Source organism: Homo sapiens, chromosome 15 (genome assembly GCF_000001405.40).
Source record: "Homo sapiens chromosome 15, GRCh38.p14 Primary Assembly".
NCBI classification, from domain to species: Eukaryota; Metazoa; Chordata; class Mammalia; order Primates; family Hominidae; genus Homo; species Homo sapiens.
This window is the reverse complement of record NC_000015.10, coordinates 34673052-34685673: the sequence shown is the minus strand read 5'-3', so window position 1 is coordinate 34685673 and position 12622 is coordinate 34673052. Positions and strand designations below refer to the sequence as shown.

General features: G+C 39.9%; 1 annotated feature.

Moving 5' to 3' along the window:
- Nucleotides 2464-3663: an enhancer, noted in NCBI's record as "MED14-independent group 3 enhancer chr15:34974212-34975411 (GRCh37/hg19 assembly coordinates)". NCBI's record gives its function as "activates an origin of replication core promoter dependent on BRD2, BRD4, P300/CBP and CDK7 cofactors, and independent of MED14, by STARR-seq in HCT116 cells {active_cell/tissue: HCT116}" and the evidence as "EXISTENCE:reporter gene assay evidence [ECO:0000049][PMID:35650434]".

The window sequence follows — 12622 nt, the reverse complement described above, 5'->3', positions numbered from 1 at the left end:
TGTATGCCAGCCACTGTTCTTAGCACTTTACCTGCATTACCTTGTTCATTCTTTAAAACGATGCTATGGTGTAAGTACTAATATTATTTCTCATTTCCAGGTGAGGAAACTGAGCTTTGCTAAGTTGAATAAACTGCTCTGGGTAACAAAATTGGTGGTAGTCCAGGAATTCTAACTCAGATCTGTCTCCAAAGACCAAGCTTTTCACCATATTGTAGTGATTCTTACCACGCCTTTCCCCATTTTTTTTTTTTTTTTTTTTTTTTTGAGACAGAGTCTCTGTTGCCCAGGCTGGAGTGCAGTGGCACGATCTTGGCTCACTGCAATCTCGACCTCCAGGGTTCAAGTGATTCTCCTGCCTCAGCCTCCTGAGTAGCTGGGATTACAGGTGCACACCACCACATCCAGCCAATTTTTGTACTTTTAGTACAGACTGGGTTTCGCCATGATGGCCAGGCTGGTCTCGAACTCCTGACCTCAGGTGATCCACCCACCTTGGCCTCCCAAAGTGCTGGGATTATAAATGTTAGCCACTTGGACTGGCCCCCATATTTTTTCTGCATATGAATTGTTATTCCCTTTTTTCTCAAACCTCACTCATTCTTTATGACCTGAACCAAATCACACTCCTTCCATGAGCCTTCTCTGGTGACTCTGGCCTTGCTGATCAAACTTTCATCTGAAATCCTGTTAAATTCAGAGACTACGTTACTACTCAGTAGAAAAACAGACATGTATAACCTATATTGTATTTGTCTTCGTTTCCTGTGAGTTAGCCTCATCTCCCAAACAGGACTTGAGCTACCCGCAAACTGGTAGGCTATAGCCATTCCTTGATCCCACCAAGTCATGACAATATCTGGAGAAAGGAAAGGGGCCACCTCTTTCTGTGCCTCTTTTCTAGAAATGAGGAAACTTCTTTTGTAACTCCTCCAATGGACTTTACCTCACACCTTATTAGCCAGAATTGAGTTAAATGGCCTTTCTCAAATCATACAAGGGAACTGGAATTACCATGGTGGGCTGCAGAACTGGGGGTTAGGTCATCTTCCAAGTCATCAATGGTGATGATGAAGCAGGTGAGATCTTCAAGCATTAAAAAAAAAAAAAAGGAAGAAGGGGGAACAAAGGTTGTGTAAACAGCCAGTGTTCTGGAAGTTCTTGTGCAGGCTTGTAAGTGCCTGTTGTTAAATTCAGAAATTTTTAATGCTGGTAGATAAACATAGTCATCATCAAAACTTAAATTAGGCTAGGCGCAGTGGCCCACACCTGTAATCCCAGCACTTTGGAAGGCCGAGGTGGACAGATTGCTTGAGCCTAAGGAGTTTGAAACCAGCCTGGGCAATATAGTGAGACTTCATCTCCATGAAAATTTGCAAATTGGCCAAGTATGCGCCACTGCACTCCAGCCAGGGTGACAGAGCTGAGACCCTGTCTCAAAAATACAAAAAAAAAAGAAAATTTAAATTGTATTAAATACTTACAATAAAGTATGCTAAAGATAACACTCAAAAGTCATCACTTTCTAATGATTTTTACACATACTATTATCTATGCTCTTGATGCTATTTATGGTTGTGTATATGTGTTGGAAAATACTATAGAATAGTCAGCTATTGCACATCTCTTCCAACTCTGTGTTCAGTGACATCACATTGGCCTTTTTTTTTTTTTTTTTTTTTTTTGAGATGGAGTCTCGCTCTATTGGAAGGCTGAAGTGCAGTGGTGCGATCTCAGCTCACCGCAACCTTCGCCTCCCAGATTCAAGCAATTCTCCTGTCTACATTGGCCTTTTGAAAAAGTTATAGTGCAAATATTTACACCATGGAAATGGTCAGATAATACAAATCATGGCCTGCTTTATTGTTTTGCTGATTGTCTAGATTTAAGGTATTGATAGAGAAAATGTTACTAATGCAGATTAAAATATGTAAGTATATTGTGCCTGTAGCCATTAAATTGTGAATGGCACAAAAATTATTCTTCCAGTTTTCAAAAGTCATTATCTGAACCAGCAATGGCTCACATTATTGACAAATGAGTGAAGGTTTGACATAAGTCTTCCTTATTTAACTTTCATAGTATTTAATAACATAAATAAAAATATTGACCAACATTCAGATCAGAACCACACTCATTTGTTTACTGCCACAGAATGGTTATGGATACAAGCGTTCAGAAAAAAATCAACAAAAGCATTCTGTAGAGTCAATTGGCTTTATGGAATTTATAATAAAAAGTATTGTACACTTTATTATTCATAAATTATATGTTGCATGTCCTTTGTATCAGTTAAATTCATATCTTATATATAAATGCTAATATATATTAGTATATATACCATATATGGCATATAAAATTATATATACATATATATGTATATATGTGTAATATATACTTTTTTCCCCAGTGAGCCAGGTATTAAACATTTACCAGCACCACACTGAGACTACCAATATATTTACTACATCTTTGTAGTAATTTAAGTTAATTTTGTTTGGATGTCCTTTAGAAAATATAGTGATCTGATTTTAGATTTCCTTAATAAGTTAAAAGGTAGATTCAAAATGGTGTACCAAGTTTATTTATGTGGGGGCAGGGATCTGAATGGACAACTTTGCTTTGGTTTAATTCACTGGAGACTTCGGAAAATCAGTGAGGTTTATTTTACTAAATCATGAGGTTTATTCAAGTCTGTAGCTTGAATCAATTCAAGTTCTTGGTAGTAATAATAAGCTACACTGATAAAGGGATTTACCACAATCACATTGTTTTCTTTGATCACGATGAATCATCCTGGGTATGGCACATCTGAACATGTTGATCCCCGATGAGAGGTGAGTGTTCAATGAGGAATGTGCCCAGTTCTGAGCTCACCCTAAGGGAAATGAGAAATTTCATTCGTAGACTGTTTCTGCTTCCTTTTTGACTCGCTTTCCCCTGGAGAACAAATACACATTCACCTGCTGTTCCATACCTTTATCATCTTACCCAGTGGTAGGAGGAGAGATCAGCTTTTGGCCCCTGGGAATGCATGTTAAAATTTTATTCTCTTCCCCGGCCAGACATGATTTGGGCATGAGCTCTCCTTGGGTAATTGGCCCTCTGGGCTTTATTTTTGAATGATGGTTTCTTTTCTCAGTAAATGTGATACGTGTTGAAATGGGGAATAAAAAGAATAAAATGGGGAATGAAAATCAGTCAGTATGACTTTCTCCATAATCTTATTTCTCTTTATTGCTTATCACAATAATGCTTCTCTTCTAGTTCTCAACATGGTTAAACAAATCTTGACATTTCATCTATGGTTATTTTTATGATAGTTATTGTTATATTGATGATAATTATTAATACAAGGGTAGTAACAGTTATTTATTGATCCTCTGCTATGCATCAAGCACTAGACCAAATACTTATAACTTCTCTAACCCCCAGAACAACTATGCTGATAATCATTTTCTCTTTAAAAAGAAGAAAATTAAAATCCAAAGATATTTAATAACCAAGGTTTTAACCAAAGCCTGTCTGACTCCAAAACTCCCATTTTTTCCACTGTAGTAGGATTTTTCTCTTCCATCAATAACTCATTAGGACTGAATCCTGTTGGAGGAACATGTTGAATGATGAGAAATTGCAAAAGTTGCGTTTGAGTCATATTAGCCAAGAATCCATATTGGGACCTTCTTACTTTAAGCTTGACCCTTTGCTAATGAATTCCTTAATGGCATTGATAATCAATGTGCTTTTGGTGTCCTCACCAAGATCAGGCAGAGCCAGGGCAATAAGTGTTCAGAGAAACTTCATGAAAACCCAGTGACTATCTGAGCACACAAGGACACAGAACCTTCTGTTTCATTGACTGCTGGTATTTGAGGTTCAGAAAGTATGCTGGCTTCAAACTTATAAAATATCCCATAGGTTTTCGTGTGTAGGTGGCATCCTGTAGATATCCAGCAGTACTAGAAATGAAATGTGCCCTATGTGATGTGGATATATGTTGTTTTCCTGGTGGAATCCCAGCCTTAGGGCCAGAAAAGGGGTGCATTCGGTGTAAGACCAACCAGGTAAGGAGCAAGTAGCCCTTCAACAAAACAATCCTTTACTGTTACATAACATCTTTGTTCTAAATCTCTTCATCATGCAGTCAGAAGAAATGAAAAGGACTAACACCTGGGCACAGGACTACTGCAACTCCTGACATACACAACTAAGTGGCATTACCCCTAGAGAGAGGGAAGCTATTGCTGGCATCCTTTTACTTCCATAACTTGCTTCTAAATATCAAAATCAAACACTTATGAAGAAATGCTTTTTGTCACAATTGAGATGCTCCTCAGAGATGTCTCATCCAAGAGGCATCTCTCCAGTCCCTTTATCAGGCTATTGAAATGATCAATAAGGGTAGCCTTAAAATAACAGAAATATCCTAACAGGCAACAAAGCCTAAGGCAGGGTGTCAAGATGTTTTCCTCATGTACCTACCAAAAGAATGATGAAAAACTGTATGCCCCTGATCCCTGTAACTTATTTTTCTTTTCTTTTCTTTTTTTTTCAGCAGTCCTCCTACCTCAGCCTCCTGAGCAGCTAGGTCTACAGGCATGCACCACCATGCCTGGCTAATTTTTTTTTTTTTTTTTTTTTGAGATTGAGGATCTTCCTATGCTGCCCAGGCTAGTGTCAACTCCTGGGCTCAAGCGATCCGCCTGCCTGGCCTCCCAAAATGCTGGGATTACAGTCCTGAGCCACCAAGCCTGGCCTCCTATAACTTTTAAATTTACAAGTTTGAACGCACCTTTCCAGTTGCAAAGCATGTGGTTTCCGTCATACCGCATATGGTGCATGTGCTTTCAAGATCTTTTCATCAAAACCTAGAAGCTAAAGATTAAGTACATTCAATGTACTGAAAATATCCACCATATAATCTAATTGACAAACCAAATCTTCACTGTCAAACTAATATGGAAATCAGGACTATTTTATGTCAGAGTAAAAGTAGTTTAAAAAATTCAAATAAATTATTGAATATACATTTCTTCTTGACAATCTTCTCCGTCTGTTTCCCAATTGTGAGAAAGAGAAAGAATTCGAGAGAAAACGGTGTGCCACCAGGATGGCGTGAAGCTGCCACCTTCTTCAATATTCCTCAGCCAGCCTTTCTTGGCTTTCTTTCAGGCTCTATCTCAGGAATGATGTGTTTCTTGTTTGAATCTGTTTTTGCTCCCTAGAGCAATGGGCCTTGCTAGGGTTGACAATGGTTAGCTGTGTGCCTTTCTTTTTACAGTGGGAGAAGGTCTGTGGTGGAAGTGGAGATGCAAAAGGAGATCCTGCAACAGCAGAGGGGTTCTTGGGCAGAGCACTTTTCCTCAGTTCTTCTTCCCTTCTTTCCTTTTTCCTTCTTCCCTTCCTCAGCTGATAGGAGAAAGAGGATTACCTCTTCCTCTCCTTCACTACTTGATGCTCCTACAGGCATTAAAAACCCTCCCCCAACAAAAAGGGAAGAAGTCGTTCCCTATCTGCCATACTTAGGCTGACATACAGATTTCCTCCTTGCATTGAGGCATGATGCAGGTGAATTTACCGTCAAGCTCATGAAGCAGAAGTGTCAGAGCCCCTCACTTTCATAGCCTCTTCCAAGGTCTAAACACTTCTTCCAGAAGATGTGTTTACAATGCTATATATTTTTGAAAATTTTTCAATGAAAGGTATTTTGGTATTCTCTTACTTAAAGAGGACTCCTCTCCCAAATTGTGTAAGCTTCCCATCCCTTTAGGGTTTCCAGATTTAGCAAATAAATATTCAAGATGCCTTGTTAAATTTAAATTTCAGATAAATAATAATTTTTTATTATTCCAAATATTACTTGGGACATACTTTACTTTTAAAAAATATTAATTAGACAACAAAGAATTCTTCATTACTGCAAATATTGCATGGGACATACTTACACACAAAAATTTATTTGCTGTTAATCTGAAATTTAAATGTAACTGAGAATCCTGGAGTTTGTCTATCAGCAGCCCTCTACCCATCCAAACCAGGATTCTCCCTGTTTAGACACTGAATAGCAAGGTAAGCCTTGCTGATCCTGAGCCAGATAAAGATGTCTTTGAATTTCATATTACAAACTCTTCTAAGACTGTAATTTGAGACTTGGAAACATCCCTGCTGACTGATCTTATGCAACCTTATTTTTGGCATATTTTTGCTGCAGAAACACAGATCAAAATAATTTCCCAGCTTTGTAGGAAAATGAGAAACTCTGCTTGTTCTCTAGTGAGAGATAAGTGAACTGTGAAATGTCACTGTTGTGCTTCGTGTTGGGGTCTGGCATGGGACATGTGTTTTTGGAAAGGAGGCACAGTAAATGGCTTCAGACAAGTAACATCTAGTGAGGAAGGAGAGCATGGTGGCCCAAGGGGATATTGGTTGAGATAGGAGATACTACATACTTAGTGTTTCTCAAATGTTTTGGGCCCCAACCTACAGCAAGAAATAATTTTCCACAGTGACCCAATACACACATCTGTATACATGTGATTGAAAGAAAAGTTTCATTAAACGTTTACCATTACTTCACATACAATTACTATATGTAATGCCCACTGCTTTTTCTATTCTCTTTCATTAAAAACAAAAGAATTGATTGCACTCAATTGATTTCACATCCAAGTAGCACATGATTATTGGTTTAAAAAACACTGCACTAGAGGAGCACTACTTGAAGTAACTTGTCAGGGAACTGGCTAAGGTGGTCTCCAATAGAAAAGGAGCTTGCATCATGATGAAAATTCATGAGCTGCTTCCTTCATCGAGGAAAATCTTGCTCTGAAAACAATCTCAGCTAAACAGCATGCTTAGTGACATAGCTGATTTATGTTCTGGTGTCAGTTCTTTATCCTGTCAGGATGGGTAACAAACAGTTTGCAGGTGGGCACCAGTCCTCAGATGACCCTTTGAGAAGCAGTGTGCACTGCAGCACGTCACAGAAGAGATGAGACAAACCCGTAGAGTGAGGGTCCGAGCAGTACAAAAGAGCAAATGATGAGTGACGCTTGTAATGCCCAAGAAGACTCATTGCTGAGACCCAGGGGCCTGCTTTGGAGAAGCTATAGACACATTTCCAGGGGTCCTACATTACTTGAGAAGGAAGTTCCTCTCAGACAACCTGCACAACAACAGAAATTTAATTCCTGCACACAGAGGAAAGGATCAGTGAAAATATGAAGATTTGATGGCGAAGAATTAAATTGATTACTCTTACCCCGAAAAAAGTAAACTCTGTCTCTCACTCTCTGTAATGTCTATGTCAAACCCTCTCCTTTCTCCTCAAATCGTCAGTTCCTTCATCTGGTCTTCTCACTCCAACTTAATGACCTCGACTTGCACTTCACAGAGAGAACAGAAGCCATCAGAAGGGAGTTCCTTCATCTTTTCTTTACCAAACCTACCAGTCTATCAGCGCTACTCTCAACCTCCCTTCCCAACGTATATACTGTGTGTTGACAAGGGGAATGATGAAAACCTCCATTACCCCAACAATGGGGGCATACACTCCCTTATATTTTGTATGCAAACTCTGGATTATATTGCTATGTTCAATGGCAAGGGAAAAGACAAGCAAGCAACACTTAAAAAATAGGTCCATTTTGGCTGCTAAACAGCCTTATTCTGATTGCACTCTAAATCTCTGCATGTGAGAAGAAATTCAGAACACGAAATCGCAAGGCCCTATCTCTCTTTAAGTACATAAATATTTTAGCCACTCCTCAAAAGTTGTCTCTATATCATATTGGTTGGTAGAAAACTATCAAATGCTAATCCTCTCATTTGTGATCAGATCCTATTCCGCCTGATGTTTCAGGCACTTAACCCTTCAGGTCTTTCTCTCCCACATCATCAATCATTCCCTCTCTACCAGAGCCTTTCCCAAGCATTCTAATATGCTGAGGTATGTCCATCTTTTTAAAAAATGCCTTTGTTTATTCCACATCCCCTCCTGTTACTGCACCCTCTATTCTTCACAGATTAGTTTCTCTAAAGAGTTGCCATCTTCATTGTATTAGCCTGCCTTCAGCACCCACCACTGTGCCCAAAACACACTTGTTACAAAAGTCACCAATGACTTCCACACTGCCAGCTCCAATGGAGGTTTTTTTCGATTCTCATGTTCCTCAATTTTTAGCTGCTTTAGACACAGTTGCTCACCCCCTTATCCTTGAGACACTCTTTGATCTTGGCTTCCCTGGATAATACACCTACACTTTGACTGTTCCTCCAATCTTTCCACCATTGCTCCTTTAGCTTCTTGACTGGCTTACCATCCTCTAACTGATCTTTACCTGTTTGGAGATCATCTCCCTCCCATCAAGAAAAAGATACCCCCTTAGTATTCCCCACCCAAGTAAATGGCAACTCTATCCACATGGTAGCTCCCTAAGCAAGTTCACTTTACTCTGTCTGCATTGCTATCACTTAAGGCCAAGCCACTATCATCGTTCTCCTCTACTCTGAAAGTTTTCTTGTAGCTCTCCCTGTTTCCACTTTTGCCGCCTACTTCCACCCCACCCATTAATTCATATAGCAACCATAGTCATATTTCTAAAACATTATTCACATTTTATCACTTCCTTCTTCAAAAATAACAAATCATTTCCCATAGAACTTATAACAGAATGCAAGCTCATGAACATGGTCTCCTAGGCCCTGTGTGATCAGCCCCTGCCCACCTCTCCAGCCTTCTCTCCTTCCATTCTGTCTTTCACCCACTGCTCTCCCACCACACTGCCCTGCTTTTAATTTGTTTTAGGTTAAGATCCTTCCTGCCTCAGATTCTTTGTACACCCTGTCCACACTTCTGGGATTGCCTCCCTTCCACTTCACCTGCATAACTCCTGCTCATCTGTCCTTCCAGTGGCAGTTGAAATGTTAATTCTTTAGGGAAGGCTACACCAAATATTCCACTCCCACTTCATCAATCTAACTCAATCACCTTTGATGGATGGAGAAGAACTCTGTTAGCATGCTGAAATTTCTTCATAATGAATACTACAATTTATAATTACATAATTTCCTCTGTGGTTTTTGTTTGTTTGCTTGCTTGCTTAATATCTGTTTTTCCCATTTAACTTCAAATCCCATAAGGCTAGTGCCTGGACCAGAATTGGCAGCATTAGTAAATGCTCCGCAACTTTTAAATGAGTGAATGAGAAATATGTTCACTAATTGTTTAAATTATATGCTAAATATTGAAAAACGGTCTCTTTTTCAACATGAAGCTTGCTGACAAATACACTTCACACAATTATGTGTGCACAATGGGCTAAACACCTGTTTATTAATGTCTACCAGTTGTGTGCCAGAGTGGGCTTGTATAAGCTTGATAGAGTCAATTCTGGGCATCTCTTACAATTTAATGTTCAAAGATATCATGTTGGTAGCAAATATTACAAATCAGGGCTTTTCTTTTCCTTTGGAGAGTTTGTTTACCGGCACACTATTTGTGTCTACTATATACCAATGCCATGTTAAGTATAATGGAGCCACTGTAAAAAATAAGTCATATTCCCCGTCCAGGGGAAGTTTCCAGTCTAGTTTAGGAAACATGATATACATCAGGAATCAGGGAGCATTAGGGTATAGCTGTGCAGTGTGAATACATCCATGATCAGAAAAGGACAAGATCGTTATAGGCTGGATTAGGTACCAGTGGACATTCAGAGAGTGAAACCAACTCTGAGACTGGTGTATGGAGAAGATCTATTCTGCAGCTAGAAAGGACCACAGAGGGCAATCTTGATGGAGGAGCAGCAAGGACCTGGGGCCACTCATGAGTTAGAGTAACTGTAGTTACAATGGAAGTGGGAAGAAGGAGGGGAAAGTGTCTTAGTTGTAAAGAGTTGCTCTTGACTTGCTCTTCTTCAATGTAATTTTGGTAAATTGAATCATATTTTTTAAATGAAGAAACTGGAAATCAGAATTCTTAAGGTGAATCCTATTTGAAAAAGATGGTGTTTAAAGGGTAATCTTCCTCTGTTTTTCAGATTTAAGTTTTCTTGAATAACTTCATGGAAGCCATGTACATCTCTACTACATCCTCTCAGGCACATCGCTACCTGTTGGATGCCCTGGCAAGTTAAAGACTTCCCTTATCTCTGACCCTCTGTCTCTATATTTGTGAAATAAAGTGGTCCAACTTGATCATCTCTAAGGTGCTTTAGAGCTCAGAAAAATCGCATGGTTCTTAATGGTTAGACATGTGAACAATATTTCTAAGTGTGTCTAAGAAGAAGGCCAGGACACATCATTCTGAAATGTCTCTTCCTTTGATCAAAAGACTCTCAGGGACTCTCTGTGGGGATAAAAGAAAGAAGTAAAATGATCCTCTTGCTACAGAGTCAAGTAAGTTTTCTTTTAGCTGAAGAAGACATTCAGCATCTGAGGATGGCAGATACAAGGGGTTTTCCTCATGAACACCACTAGGTAAATTCTGTGACCACTTGACAGGGAAATAATGTCACCATTTTAAAATCAACAGAAAAAGAGCAGAGCAGAAAGTTGGAAAGATGATATATCCTGTGGCCAGACTGCATAAAATTGACTGGAGAAACTAATCAAATCAGACTTGATAAAGCTGATGCTGCCGTATATCCCCCGTGCCTAGAAGCCTTGTCAGAGCTGGTCTACCATCCATCCTGACTTAGGATACAGGCTGACTCCTTTGCCTAATCTGAATAGCAGTCCAGCTGCATGCACTTCAATTACCTTGATTTTTTTCACATTACAGTTAAATAGAACACAATGCTTCTGATGATGCTGTTTGGCAAAACGCCGATGTCTGCTGAAGGGACCTGCTCCAAGTTGCCTATAGAATCCCTCAGTAGGGCTGGTTCTGGGCTCTCAAGGCCACCTCTTCCCTCTCCCTCCATGCTTCCCCCACATCCCTCAAGGCAGAAAGAGCTGATGCTAGGTTGGCTCCTTAAGTCCACTCATCCCAAGCCAGCCTGAAGCTGCAGTGTAGCAGGGAGTTAGCCTGACATCTTTTCTCCAGTCAGCACAGCCCAGCTGTCGCTCTGCACTGCTGCAGGAAGCCATGTTGACATGTGGTTCAGACAGAGGCAAGGCTCAAGTCTTTGAGTCTGTAGTTCCCCAGCCCAGTTGACTGCAGCCATGGCAGAAAATGGGGGTCAGGGCTACCCCAGAGGACAACTAGACATTTGTTTCGGCCTGAATCTTTTAATTTTTTTTGGTTGAAGGATGAAGACAGTAAAAATCTGGTGCTCAGGATGGCTCAGTTCACTGTATATTTAATGAGTTTCTGCACTAAGGGTGTAAAGGCAGGTGAGGTGGGCTAAGGGGAATAAAGACACAGTTTCTGCATTTGAAGAGTTCACAGTCAAATGTGTGAGATTTTACCTGCAAAATACTTTCAGTGAAACAGGACAAGTAACAATATAAAAATATGCACAGGTGGCTGTGGGAGTCTAGAGGTGTGATCTTATACCACAAGGAGCTGTTACTCGAGCTGTTGTGAAGGATAAGGAAGAGCCAGATGAAGCAAGTTAGAAAGAGAGTTCTGTGACAAAAGAACTTCACAAACCATAAACAGCAGGGCATAATGGGATTGGTGTAGAAAGAGTATAAAGCAGAAGACAGGGCTTGGGAGATACAGAGCTGGAGAGGGAGGCAGCAGTCAGGTCAGAAAAGGACCCCAGTGCCTTGGGACAAAACTGGGCTTTACTCTGTAGGGATTTGGGAGCTGTTGAAGGATTTTGAGTAAGGAAGTGAATGACCTATTTGCACAGATAGATCCCTCTGGTGCAGGAAGCGGTGGGGTTTAAGGAGAGCAAGACTAAAGGCAGGCAGATCCATTAGGTTTGTGCAAAGATACGGGAGTTCCAGAGCAGTGATAGTAGGGGTAGAAAGGAGTGGGTGAATCTTAGAGGTATTTAAGAAGTAAGATCAGAAGAACTAGAAGAACTTGATTATGGACTGGATATGGCAGGTGAGATGGTGAAGCAGAGGTATTTGTATAAAAAGACTGCCAGGCTTATTGCCTGGGTGATGTGGACAAGGCTACATTTCTCAAATTATGTATCTTATAAAATGCTCCTGCTGAATGTGAGGAGGTATTGTGTGAAAAGTGGCTGTATCCTCAGATAATTTTGAGAAGTTCCAGCTTAAACAGAACTAAAGTAGTAATAGGTCTCTCTTCCGCAGGACTTCTCAGAGCCTTTAATATGCAAATAGTAGTATCAAAATCATAATAACTGATATTATTAAGCACTTATATGAGCCTCACTTACTATGCATTCAGAGCTCTTAGCAAATTGGAAGGAAGCAAAGTCCTTGAGAAAACTTCTGGAACTGAAAGTGATATGTGAGCAAGTATATAGACACAAATTAATAATGTAGTAATATGGGTTAATGAAGCAAGAAGCTTCAAGTACACATGGTTCAAGCCAAAGGCATTCTGGGAAATGGCCAAGTAGAGGGCTAAATATTTTATATTCATTATTTCAGGTTCCCATAGCAATGCTGTGTGGTACATATTTTGTACCTGTTTTACAAGTAGGGAAACTGGGTCTCATAAGCTAACTCACTAAACAACTAACCAAAGCTCACC